Source organism: Homo sapiens, chromosome 1, assembly GCF_000001405.40.
Source record: "Homo sapiens chromosome 1, GRCh38.p14 Primary Assembly".
Lineage (NCBI taxonomy): Eukaryota > Metazoa > Chordata > Mammalia > Primates > Hominidae > Homo > Homo sapiens.
In genome coordinates, this window is record NC_000001.11 from 28,328,976 (window position 1) to 28,341,878 (window position 12,903).

A 12,903-nucleotide genomic window follows, 5' to 3' on the forward strand; every position below is an offset into this window, starting at 1 on the left:
TTGGGAACGGCAGTTTCGAGGTTTGTGAGACGTCGGCTTCCGACCGGAAGTGAGAAGAGGAGGAAGTTGGCTGGTTGCACCGATCTGGGGGCTTCCCGGGCTCGGGTAACCGGAGTGCTGGTATCTAATCGTCGCTCAAAAGCTCCTAGGTGCGCGGGTGGATATAATTCCCGGCTTCTCGAGAAGACACTACAGCCTCAAGGAGGTGTGCTTCTAGTGTTTAATTGGATACGTGTTATGGATGCCGGCTTAGAAGGACCTATATACCATCATCTTAAAATAACTTCCCCTTGGCTCTCTCTCTCTTTTTTTTTTTTTTTTTTTTTTTGAGACGGAGTTTCGCTCTTGTTGCCCAGGCTGGAGTGCAATGGCGCGATCTCGGCTCACCGCAACCTCGCCTTCCGGGTTCAAGCGATTCTCCTGCCTCAGCCTCCTGAGGAGCTGGGATTACAGGCGCTCGCCACCAGGCCTGGCTAATTTTTTGTATTTTTAGTAGAGTCGGGGTTTCTTCATGTTGGTCAGGCTGGTCTCGAACTCCCAACCTCCAGTTGATCCGCCGGCCTCGGCCTCCCAAAGTACTGAGATTACAGGCGTGAGCCACCGCGCCCGGCCTTGGCTCTCTTTAAAAGGCATTTTTAGGCTAGCCGCAGTGTGGTCTCCCGCCTGTAGTAGTCCCAGCTACTCGGCTTGAGCCCAGGAGTTCGAGGTTATAGTGAGCTAGGAACTCCCCACTGCACTGCAGCCTGGGCTACAGAGCGAGATCCTGTCACCAAAAAAGAAAAGCGTACGGGGGAAGGCATTTTCAGAGAGATAGAACGCCTAGATGTTAGTTTGGTCCAAACTCTGCTACCAACTTGCTGTGTGTATCCTTCTGTCCCTCTCCAAGTCTCAATATCCTCATCTATAAAACGAAGGTCCCTTAAGTCACTTTTTCAGTTCTTCTGAATTTTGTTGCCTCTTTATTATCTCGTTTGAGCCACATAGCCTTGGGAGTTAAAAATCACTGGCCTTTGGCCGGGCACGGTGGCTCACACCTGTAATGCCAGCACTTTGGGAGGCCGGATCACCTGAGTATCACCTGAGGCCAGGAGTTCGAGGCCAACCTGGCCAACATGACGAAACCCCGTCTCTACTAAAAATACAAAAAAAATTAGCTGGGCTTGGTTGCGGGCGCCTGTAATCCCAGCTACTCGGGAGGCTGAGACAGGAGAATCGCTTGAACCTGGGAGGCAGAGGCTGCAGTGAACAGAGATTGCGCCATTGCACTCCAGCCTGGGCGACAAGAGTGAAACTCCGTCTCAAAAAAAAAAAAAAAAAAAAATCACTGGCCTCATTTTATAAGGAAGACATTGAGTCCCAGGGTGAGGGGTTATAGATAGGACTTTCTCAAGATTGCACAGGTAATGTGGAGGTTTCAGAACTTGAGACTAGAAGGTAATGCTGTAACTCCATGACCAGATCTCCTTTCTATATTTCTGTGTCATCAGTTCCTGGAACTGGCCATATAAGGAAATACTCAAACGTTTTTGAATGAATGAATCTTTGATTTGAAGGCCAGTGCCACAACAGATCTGGTCTCTCTCCACCACTTTGATGTATAAACAAGTGAACTCTTTTCCAGGTATATCCCGTGCCTTACCTGACTGGGGGCTCTGAGTCCAGTTGTGTTGTCTTCAACTTAGACACCATGGAGGCACCTCCAGTCACCATGATGCCTGTCACTGGGGGCACCATTAACATGATGGAGTACCTGTTGCAGGGTAAGTGAACTAGGGAACTTGGATTACCTGTTTTCCTCTTCTCTGTTCAGCTTCCCTTAAGATGAGAGACTTAACACAAAAGCAGCCTGCACAGTTTCTGGCACCCAGCTATGTTTTTAACTGTTACTTTAAATTATAGTTTTATATGCACTAAACATACTAAATTTGCCATCTTGGCTGGGCATGGTGGCTCACGCGTATAATCCCAGCACTTTGGGAGGCCGAGGTGGGCGGATCACGAGGTCAGGAGATGGAGACCATCCTGGCTAACACAGTGAAACCCTGTCTCTACTAAAAATACAAAAGAAATTAGCCCGGCGTGGTGGCGGGCACCTGTAGTCCCAGCTACTCAGGAGGCTGAGGCAGGAGAATGGTGTGAACCTGGGAGGCAGAGGTTGCAGTGAGCCGAGATCGCGCCACTGCACTCCAGCCTGGGCGACAGAGTGAGACTCTGTCTCAAAAAAAAAAAAAAATTGCCATCTTAACATATTTAAGTGTACAGTTCTGTATTGTTAAGTATATTAACATTGTTAAACAACAGATCTTTAGAACTTTGGTTTATTGTGAGTAGCTTGAAAAAATACTTAGTACAACTTTTTATTTCTTTGAGACAGAGTCTCAATCTGTCACCCAGGCTGGAACGCAGTGGCACAATAACAGCTCACTGCAACCTCTATCTACTTCCCGGGTTCGAGGGATTCTTGTGTCTCAGCCCCCCTAAATAGCTGGGATTGCAGGCGTGCATCACCACGCCCAGCTAATTTTTGTATTTTTAGTAGAGAGTTGTGGTTTCATCACGTTGGCCAAACTGATCTTGAACTCTTGCCCTCAAGTGATATACTTGCCTTGGCCTCCCAAAGTGCTAGGATTACAGGTATGAGCTGCCGCGCCTGGCCTAAAATACTTAAGTTTTTCATCCTATAAAACTGCAACTCTATACCCATTAAACACTAATTACCACTCCCCTCTATGCCAAACCCTTAGCAACTATCTTTCTAGGTCCTGTTTCTCTGATTTTTTTTTTTTAAGATGGATTCTCACTCCGTTGCCCAGGCTGGAGCACAGTGGTGCAATCTTGGCTTACTGCAGCCTCTGCCTCCCAGATTCAAGCGATTCTTCTGTCTCAGCCTCCTGAGTAGCGGGATTACAGGTGTGCACCACCATGGCCAGCTAATTTTTGTATTTTTAATAGAGACAGGGTTTTTCCATGTTGGCCGGGCTGGTCTTGAACTCCTGACCTCAGGTGATCCACCTGCCTCAGCCTCCCAGAGAGCTGGGATTACAGGCGTGAGCCACCGCGCCCAGCCAGATTTTGTAAACAAGTATCTGAATATGTTCCTAACATTTGAGCCATAGCCATGGAGGCAGAAAGATGACTAAAAAAATGTATGTCAAGCCAGCTGTTACAGGCTTATGCCTGTAATTCCAGTTGTTTGGGAGGCTAAGGCTGCAGTACTGCTTGAGTTCGGGAATTCAGGATTAGTCTGGACAACATAGCAAGAACTCATCTCTACTAAAAAAAAAAATTAGCTGGGCATGGTGGTGCGCACCTGTAGTCTGAACCACTTGGGAGGCTGAGGCGGGAGGATCACTTGAGCCCAGGGGATGGAGGCTGCAAAGAGTTATAATCACGCCACTGCTCTATAGCCTGGAGACAGAGTGAGACCCTACCTAAAAAAAAAAAACAAAACTATGCCATAAAAATAAAGCAGGAAAGTGGCTAGAGATTGGTAGGACACATACTATTTTATTAGGGTGATCAGAAAAGGCCTTGATGATAAAGTCACTTGAGCAGAGACCTGACAAAAGTGATAGAGTAGACATGCAGATGGGAAGAACATCCTAAGCACAGAGAATAGGAGAAGGGGTGTGGCAGGAAGGTCACTCCTGGAGAGAATGATCAAGGGGAGGAATAGAAGGAGATGATGTTTGGCAGGTAGCAGAGACCATAATATGTAGGGCCTTGTTGACAACGGTAAAGATGTTGGCTTTTATTCTGAATGACACAGGAAGCCACTGTAGTGTCCTGAGTAGAGGAGTGTTATTATCTGCCCAATAATTTAATAGACCATTTGGCTTTCATATGGAGAAGAGAGGAAGAAGGCAAAGGTAGAAAGAGGCGATTGCAAAGACCAGGCAAGAAATGAGGGTGACTTCATTTGAAGGGACTAGGTTGAAGTGACCAGATGAGTGAGAAGTGATTGCATTCTGCATTTATTTCAAAAATACGGATTCAATGGAGGGTATGAGAGAAAGAAAGAGGGTGTGAGTCAAAGATGATTTTCTGGTTTTTGGCCTGGGTAACCAACTAAAAACAGAGAGTTGCCATTTACTGTGATGTTGAAGACTGTAGGGTGAATAAGATTTTGGAGGAAAAAATCAACAGTTTGATATTGAACATGTTAAGATAAAGATGTCTGTTAGGCATCCAAGTGAGGAAACTGAGTAGGAAGTTGGATGTTTTCATCTGTAGTTCAGAGATAAAAACGTGGGAGTCCTCAGGGCCTAAATGATATTTAAAGCCATGGGACCAAATAAAGTCACCTAGGCAGGAAAAGAGTATTGATACAGAAGAGGACCAGGATTGAGTCCTAGTCCTCCAGTGTTTGGGGAAGATGAGAGAGACCAAGCAAAGAAGACTTAAACGGAATGGTCAGCAAGTTAAGTGAAGACAAGAAAGTTGTGTCTCAGAGGCCAAGGGAAGAATAGATTTCATAGTGGGTATAATCTACTGTAACAATTATGTCAGATGTTGCCAAGAGGATGAAGATTCTATGAAGCAATTCACTCTCTTCTACTTACATACAGAAGAGGAAAACTTTTCCTGATAAAAAGGAAACTTTAGCCAGGTGCAGTGGCTCCATGCCTGTAATCTCAGCACTTTGGGAGGCTGAGGCAGGCGGATCACGAGGTCAAGAGATCGAGACCATCCTGGCCAACATGGTGAAACCCTGTCTCTACTAAAAATACAACAATTAGCTGGGCGTGGTGGCACACGCCTGTAGTCCCAGTTACTCAGGAGGCTGAGGCAGGAGAATCGCTTGAACCCAGGAGGTGGAGGTTGCAGTGAGCTGAGATCGCACCACTGCACTCCAGCCTGAAGACAGAGCTAGACTCCGTCTCAAAAAAAGCGGGGGAGACTTTATATTTCTTCTATAAATGGAAGACTTTGATTTGTTGGAAATAGAAGGCAATTGTTAAAATATATAACAACAAAATAGTGTTATTGGCTGGGCATGGTGGCTTGTGCCTGTAATCCCAACACTTTGGGAGACCAAGGCCAGGAGTTCAAGACCACCCTGGGCAACATAGTAAGACCCCAACTCTACAAAAATAAATAAATACATAACTAAAACAGTATTATTACATTCTAGATAGACACTGTCGCTGATTAAAGGCTCTAAGCCCCAGGCCTGCTGGAGATGAGCATTAGAAGAGGCCTAAAGACTTTGTAGTGCTAAATAAGAAAATTCCAAAAAAATTGAAAAGGAAAATAACTTTCTCACAACGTTATACAATACCTTGGTAGTGTAATTTCTGTAAAATCTCATGTTTGGCTGTATGTTTTATGAAATGCTTCACTAAACTGTTTTGGTTTTTCATTTAAGTTTTTTCAATTGTATACTAACTCCATGACCTAAAATGAAAGACAGGACTCAGTGGTGCTTTTTCCGTTTTCAGGAAGTGTTTTAGATCACAGTTTGGAAAGCCTCATCCACCGCCTTCGTGGTTTGTGTGACAACATGGAACCTGAGACTTTCCTTGACCATGAGATGGTATTCCTCCTTAAGGGCCAGCAAGCCAGCCCATTTGTTCTCAGGGCCCGACGCTCTATGGACAGGGCAGGGGCACCCTGGCATCTGCGCTACCTGGGACAGCCAGAAATGGGAGACAAGAACCGCCATGCCCTGGTGCGAAACTGCGTGGACATTGCCACATCTGAGAACCTCACCGACTTCTTGATGGAAATGGGCTTCCGCATGGACCATGAGTTTGTTGCTAAGGGACATTTGTTCCGTAAGGGCATCATGAAGATTATGGTGTACAAGATTTTCCGCATCCTGGTGCCAGGGAACACAGACAGCACTGAGGCCTTGTCACTCTCCTATCTCGTGGAATTAAGTGTGGTAGCACCCGCTGGGCAGGACATGGTCTCTGATGACATGAAGAACTTCGCAGAACAGCTAAAACCTCTGGTTCACCTAGAGAAAATAGACCCCAAGAGGCTCATGTGACTAAGAGGATCTGTCCACATTTGGGGCCTATCCTTACTTGTTTGAAAAAATATGTTTGCTTTTTTTGGTTTTTGTTTTGTTTTGTTTTTGAGACAGAGTCTCGCTTTGTTTCCCAGGCTGGAGTGCAGTGGCACGATCTCGGCTCACTGCAACCTCTGCCTCCTGGGTTCAAGCAATTCTCCCACCTCAGCCTCCTGAGTAGCTGGGATTACAGGCACATGCCACCATGCTCAGCTAATTTTTGTATTTTTAGTAGAAATGGGGATTCACCATGTTGGTCAGGCTATTCTCGAACTCCTGACCTCGTGATCCACCCACCTTGGCCTCCCAAAGTGCTGGGATTACAGGCATGAGCCACCACGCCTGGCCAAAAAAATATGTTTTAAATGTCCCATTTCACCATTGCCAGGCAGGCATTCTTCCTTCAGGGAGAGGATGGTGAGAATTAATTGGTTCTTTGCACTGTTCTCCTCATGTGGCGATTTCACTTTCATGACAGCCTTTCTATATTAAAGGCTCAGGATGTCACGGAGAATCTATCTAATCCCACTGTATTAAGAGGGGAAACCGGGCCAAGCGCAGTGGCTCACACCTCTAATCCCAGCACTTTGGGAGGCTGAGGTAGGTGGATCACCCAAGGTCAGGAGTTTGAGACCAGCCTGGCCAAATGGTGAAACCCCATCTCTACGAAAAATACAAAATTTAGCCGGGCATGGTAGCAGGCGCTTGTAATCCCAGCTACTTGGGAGGCTGAGGCTGGAGAATCGCTTGAACCCAGGAGGTGAAGGTTGCAGTGACCAGAGATGACGCCATTGCACTCCAGCCTGGGTGAGAAGAGCGAAACTCCGTCTCAAAAAAAAATAAAAATGAAGAGGGGAAACCAGAATAAATTATCTTTTGGAAAGGACAATTTCTTGTTTGGCCATTTGTGTATAAGGTTGGTAACATTAGAGGCTGTGAGCTTGTGTTACATGGTAATAAAGCCAATGAAGAGACATGTCTGTGTAATTCTGATTCTTTATTCCCTTACCCTGTAAATTTGGGGTAGATTCATTACCAGTTGAAGCAAAAAAAATGACAGTTCCTAGTTTTAATTGTGGCAGAGATGAGGATGAGAGTTTTCACCTTTCATAAAAGTAGCATATTTATTGTTGAAAACTTTTAAAATATAGTACAGATAGAAAATAACACCTATTATCCAAAGAGAAGTACTAGTTCTATTTTGGTATATATCCATCTAGTCTTTATTTTTTTATAAATTTATGTATATGAAATGTGTTTATTTTATAAAAAGATTCCATATATACTGGTTTATAACCCTTTTTTCCCATTCATCTATCATTAACATCTTTCCAGGACATTTGTCTACACTCCCCTTTTGTTAAAAAAAATTTTTTTTTTTTTTTGAGACAGAGTTTCGCTCTTGTTGCCCAGGCTGGAGTGCAGTACTGCGATGATCTCAGCTCACTGCAACCTCCACCTCCCAGGTCCAAGTGATTCTCCTGCCTCAGCTTCCCAAGTAGCTGGGATTACAGGCATGGGCCACCATGCCCGGCTAATTTTTTTTTTTTTTGAGATGGAGTACAGTGGCGCACTCACGGCTCACTGCAAGCTCCGCCACCCGGGTTCACGCCATTCTTCTGCCTCAGCCTCCCGAGTAGCTGGGACCACAGGCGCCCGCCACCACGCCCGGCTAATTTTTTGTATTTTTAGTAGAGACGGGGTTTCACAGTGTTAGCCAGGATGGTCTCAATCTCCTGACCTCGTGATCCGCCCCGCTCGGCCTCCCAAAGTGCTGGGATTACAGGCGTCAGCCACCGCGCCCGGCCTTAATTTTTTGTATTATATTTTTTATTTTCGAGAAAGGGTCTCACTGTTGTCCACGCTGGAGTGCAGTGGCATTGTGTTTTTAAGAAACGGTGTTTCGGGCAGGGCGCGTTGCTCACGCCTGTAATCCCAGCATTTTGGGAGGCCGAGGTGGGCAGATCATGAGGTCAGGAGATCAAGACCATCCTGGCTAACACGGTGAAACCCCGTCTCCACTAAAAATACAAAAATTAGCCGGGCGTGGTGGCGGCCGCCTATAGTCCCAGCTACTCGGGAGGCTGAGGCAGGAGAATTGCTTGAACCCGGGAGGCGGAGCTTACAGCGAGCTGAGATCGCGTCACTGCAGTACAGCCTGGGCGACAGAGCAAGACTCCGTCTCAAAAAAAAAAAAAAAGAAGAAGGAAACGGTGTTTCACCATGTTGGTCAGGCTAGTCTCGAACTCCCTACCTCAGCCTCACCAAAGTACTGGGATTACAGGCATGAGCCACCGCACCCGGCCAAAATTTTTTTCTTTTTAAAGCTAGTTTATTGAGTTCCTGTTATGTGTCAGTGCTATCCTAAGTGCTTCAGGTATGTTAAACCCGTTTTGTAAACAGGAGAACTGGTACATATAGATTAATTAACTTTCCCTGAGCTATACAGCTACTGATTGGCAGAGCTGGTATTTAAATATTGACAATTATAATTGCTATTTCTATTTCATCATATGGATTTGCTATAAGTTATCTAATTGAATCCTCTATGATTTTCAGTTTGATCCCATTTTTTTTGCTTTTATAAGCTGTGTAACAATAGAGCTTTTATTTATTTATTTTTTTGAGACAGAGTCTTGCTCTGTCGCCCAGGCTGGAGTGCAATGGCATGATCTCAGCTCACTGCAACCTCCGCCTCCTGGGTTCAGGTGATTTCCAGCTAATTTTTGTATTTTTAGTAGAGAGGGGGTTTCACCATGTTGGCCAGGCTGGTCTCGAACTTCTGAACTCAAGTGATCTGCCTGCCTCAGCCTCCCAAAATGCTGGGATTACAGACATGAGCCACTGTGCCTGGCCTGATATGTACTTGTTACTCTATGTAAATCTAACTCATAACTTCCAACTTGCATATGCTTTCATACTAATAAAAGTATTAGTGTTTAAATAGTGTTTGCTCCATGACAGGTACTTTATTTTTATTATTTATTAATTCATTTATTTTTTGAGACAGAGTCTTGCTCTGTCACCCAGGGTGGAGTGCAGTGGTGCCATCTCGGCTCACTGCAACCTCCTTCTCCCGGGTTCAAGCGATGCCCCTACCTCAGCCTCCTGGATAGCTAGGATTACAGGCATGTGCTACCACGCCCAGCTAATTTTGATTTTTTTTTTTTTTTTTTGAGAGGGAGTTTTGCTCTTGTTGCCAGGCTGGAGTGCAATGATGCAATCGCAGCTCACTGCAACCTCTGCCTCCCGGGTTCAAGCGATTCTCCTGCCTCAGCCTCCCGAGTAGCTGGGATTACAGGCGGCCACCACCATGCCCAGCTAATTTTTGTATTTTTAGTAGAGATGAGGTTTCACCATGTTAGCCAGGATGGTCTTGATCTCCTGACCTTGGGTGATCCACCTGCCTTGGCCTCCCACAGTGCTGGAATTACAGACTTGAGCCATCGCACCCAGCCATGACAGGTACTTTAAATGTTTCAACTCATGTACTTCTCATAACAACTGTATGAGGGTTGTGAGTTGTTATTATTTCCATTTTATAGATGAGGTTATACAGAGAGGTTTCTCAATTTTTTTTTTTTTTTCAGATAGTCTTCTCACTCTGTTGCCTAGACTGGAGCGCAGTGGCACAATCACAGCTCACTGCAGCCTCGACATCCCAGGCTCAGGTGGTCTTCCAACCTCAGCTTCCCAGGTAGCTGGGACTACAGGCATGCACCACCACACCTGGCTAATTATTGCATTTTTTTGTAGAGATAGGGTTTCACCACGTTGCCCAGGCTGGTCTAAAATTTCTGGGCTCAAACAGTCCGCCTGCCTTGGCCTCCCAAAATGGTGGGATTACAGGCATGAGCCACTACAACCAACTTCAAATTTCTTTTTTCTGTTGTCCAAAGTCAGAACTAGTAAGTGGTGGAGCCTGAATTTCAAATCAGGCAGATCATCTCCACAATCTAGACACGTAATCACTGTGTATCCACCATGTTTTATTCATTTAGTCCCTTTATATCATAGAAACCTAGATTGCTGCTGGGTGCGTAGTTCATGCCTATAATCCCAGCACTTTGGGAAGCTCAGGTGAAAGGATTGCCTGAGGCCAGGAATTTGAGACCAGCCTGGACAACATAGTGAGACCCCATCTCTAAAAAAAAAATTTTTTTAAGCTTGGCATGGTGGCACAGGCCTGTAGTCCTAGCCACTTGGGAGGCTGAGGCAGGAAGATCATTTGAGCCCAGGAGGTTGAGGCTGCAGAGCTATTATGGTGTCATTGCACTCCAGCCTCAGGGACAGCGAGACCCTGTATCTATTAAAAACAACAACAACAATAGAAAACAAACCTGGCTGGGCACAGTGGCTCATGTCTGTAATCCCAGCACTTTGGGAGGCCGAGGCAGGCAGATTACCTGTCAGGAGTTTGAGACCAGCCTGGCCAACATGGTGAAACCCCATCTCCACTAAAAATATAAAAATTAGCTGGGCATGGTGGCACACGCCTGTAATCCCAGCTCTTTAGGAGACTGAGGCAGGAGAATTGCTTGAGCCCAGGAGACAGGTTGCAGTGAGCTGAGATTGTGCCACTGCAATCCAGCCTGGCCGATAAAGCGAGACTCTGTCTCAAAAAAAACAAAAACAAAAACAAAAACACCTGAGATTGCCTGCAACTCTTCACTACCATAAAAAATGCTAAAATAAGCAAATTCGTAGATTGTTATAAAAATTCCCCTGGATGACTGGGCGCGGTGGCTCATGCCTGTAATCCCAGCACTTCAGGCGGCCGAGGTGGGTGGATCAACTGAGGTCAGAAGTTCAAGACCAGCCTGGCCACCATGGTGAAACCCTATATCTACTAAAGATGCAAAAAATTGCCGGGCATGTGGCATGCCCCTGTAATCCAAGCTACTCGAGAGGCTGAGGTGGGAGAATTGCTTGAATCTGGGAGGTGGAGGCGGAGGCTGCAGTGAGCTGAGATTGCGCCACTGCACTCCAACCTGGGCAACAGAAAGAGACCTCATCTCAAAAAAAAAAAAAAGACTGGGCTCAGTGGCTCACTCCTGTAATCCCAGCACTTTGGGAGGCCGAGGTGGGCAGATTACCTGAGGTCGGGAGTTCGAGATCAGCCTGACTAACATGGAGAAACCCCGTTTCTGCTAAAAATGCAGTTAGCCAGATGTGGTGGCGCATGCCTGTAATCCCAGCTACTCAGGAGGCTGAAGCAGGAGAATCGCTTGAACCCTGGAGGCAGAGGCTGCGGTGAGCCGAGATCACTCCATTGCACTCCAGCCTGGGTAACAAGAGCAAAACTCTGTCTCAAAAAAAAAAAAGAAAAAAAAATCCCCTGGGCTGTATAGCTATGAGCATGCTCACATTTGCCAACTATTGCAGGTTACTTTTCAGAATGTCTGTAACATTTACTTTCCTATTGCTAGTGAACAAGAACTCATAGCCACATCCTCACCAGTTGGTGTGATGTGGCATGACCCGTCTTTCTAGTTTTTTCCAGTTTGATGGATGTAAAATGGCAGCTCTTGGTTGTTTTGATTTGCTTGTCTCTGGTTATAATTACATTTGAATCTTTTCATTTCTTTCTTTGTATGTAACAGTATATAGACTTTTTTAGTATGTGAAACTAAGGTATCTATATTCTTTGCCCATTTTTTATATTTTATTTTCAATGGTATTGATCTGCAGAACCTTTGTATATTCTAGATATTAATCCTTTGCTTAAAACATTGCAAATATCTTCTCTCAGTCTGTCACCTTTCTGTTAACTTTATCTGTGATGTCATTAATTAAGCAGAGATCCTAAATTTTGACTATATTATGGTTTGGAATCTTGTTCCTTAGTTTTTCTTTTTGAGACAGAGTCTTACTCTTTTGCCCAGGCTGGAGTGAAGTGGTAGGATCTCAGCTCACTGCAACCTCTGCCTCCCGGGTTCAAGCAATTCTCATGCCTCAGCCTCCTGAGTAGCTGGGACTATACGTGCATGCCACCACGCCCAGTTAAATTTTTTTACTTTTAGTAGAGACAGGGTTTTACTATGTTGATCAGGCTGGTCTCGAACTCCTGAGCTCAGGCAATCCTCCCGCCTCAGTCTCCCAAAGTGCTAGGATTAGAGGCATGAGCCACAGCGCCCGGCATAGAATTTTGTGTAGGAAGTCTTCATTTACCCTTAGGGAACAGATTTTCCTTCTTAGCTTTATAGTTTTAACTTTCACATTTAGGTCTTTAATCCATCTGGAGTCTATCTTCTAGGTGGTTTCAAGTAAAAATCCAGCTTTCTTCTCCTTGCAGTGAATTAGTTTTTCTACCACCATCTGAAAAACAATTTTCAGTGCTTTCTGATGCTACCGTTGTTACATATTAGGTTTCCTCGTATATACTTTATTTTTAAGCTCTCCATTCTATTTCATTTTTTATTTCTTTGTTTCAGTGCCCGCAACACAATGTTTTTATTGTTATGGCTTTATAGTAGAGCCATTTCTACCAATAGGGCAGGTACCCTTACCTTTTTGTCCTCTAAAATAGACTTATAGTGTAGTAATATTTCAAAAAATAATAATAAAGAAAAGAAAATAGATCTAGCATCCAGGCATGATGGCTCATGCTTATAATCCTAGTACTTTGGGAGGCCGGGGCAAGAGGATCACTTGAGGCCAGGAATTCAAGACCAGCCTGGGCAACATAGCAAGAACTTATCTCTCCAAAAAAATTTTTTTTGAATTAGCCAGGTGTGATGGCATGCACCTGTGGTTCCAGCTATGTGGGAGGCTGAGGTAGGAGGATCTCTGGAGCTTGGGCGGTTGAGGTTGCAGTGAGCTGTGATGAGATCACTACATTCCAGCCTGGGTGACACATTGAGACCCTGTCTCAACAACAACACAAA

The 12,903-nt window shown here is 45.2% G+C and overlaps 1 protein-coding gene across 3 annotated transcripts, besides 2 other annotated features; it reads left to right on the plus strand.

The window, feature by feature from the left end:
* Nucleotides 65-6,990, plus strand: MED18 (mediator complex subunit 18). Of its 3 annotated transcripts, none has more exons than NM_017638.3 (3): nucleotides 65-205; nucleotides 1,622-1,760; nucleotides 5,442-6,990. In NM_017638.3, the coding sequence occupies exons 2-3, from the start codon at nucleotides 1,688-1,690 to the stop codon at nucleotides 5,993-5,995; spliced, it is 627 nt and encodes a 208-aa protein (NP_060108.2). In that variant the 5' UTR covers nucleotides 65-205; nucleotides 1,622-1,687; the 3' UTR covers nucleotides 5,996-6,990. The 3 variants fall into 3 exon arrangements, with proteins under 3 accessions (NP_060108.2, NP_001120822.1, XP_005245971.1); NM_001127350.2 differs by having other exon boundaries at nucleotides 65-149; XM_005245914.5 differs by lacking the exon at nucleotides 65-205 and adding an exon at nucleotides 1,311-1,400.
* Nucleotides 99-606: an enhancer, noted in NCBI's record as "H3K27ac-H3K4me1 hESC enhancer chr1:28655585-28656092 (GRCh37/hg19 assembly coordinates)". NCBI's record gives its function as "activates a minimal SCP1, AML or CMV promoter by ChIP-STARR-seq in primed H9 embryonic stem cells {active_cell/tissue: H9 hESC(primed)}" and the evidence as "EXISTENCE:reporter gene assay evidence [ECO:0000049][PMID:30033119]".
* Nucleotides 607-1,114: an enhancer, noted in NCBI's record as "H3K27ac hESC enhancer chr1:28656093-28656600 (GRCh37/hg19 assembly coordinates)". NCBI's record gives its function as "activates a minimal SCP1, AML or CMV promoter by ChIP-STARR-seq in primed H9 embryonic stem cells {active_cell/tissue: H9 hESC(primed)}" and the evidence as "EXISTENCE:reporter gene assay evidence [ECO:0000049][PMID:30033119]".
* Nucleotides 6,991-12,903: the final 5,913 nt, after the last annotated feature.

Excerpts from the sequence above, each read along its gene's own strand:
- MED18 (NM_017638.3), top strand. The coding sequence starts at position 1,688 with ATGGAGGCACCTCCAGTCACCATGATGCCTGTCACTGGGGGCACCATT. Across the intron at positions 1,761-5,441 it reads GATGGAGTACCTGTTGCAGG|GAAGTGTTTTAGATCACAGT; the intron begins GTAAGTGAACTA and ends TTCCGTTTTCAG.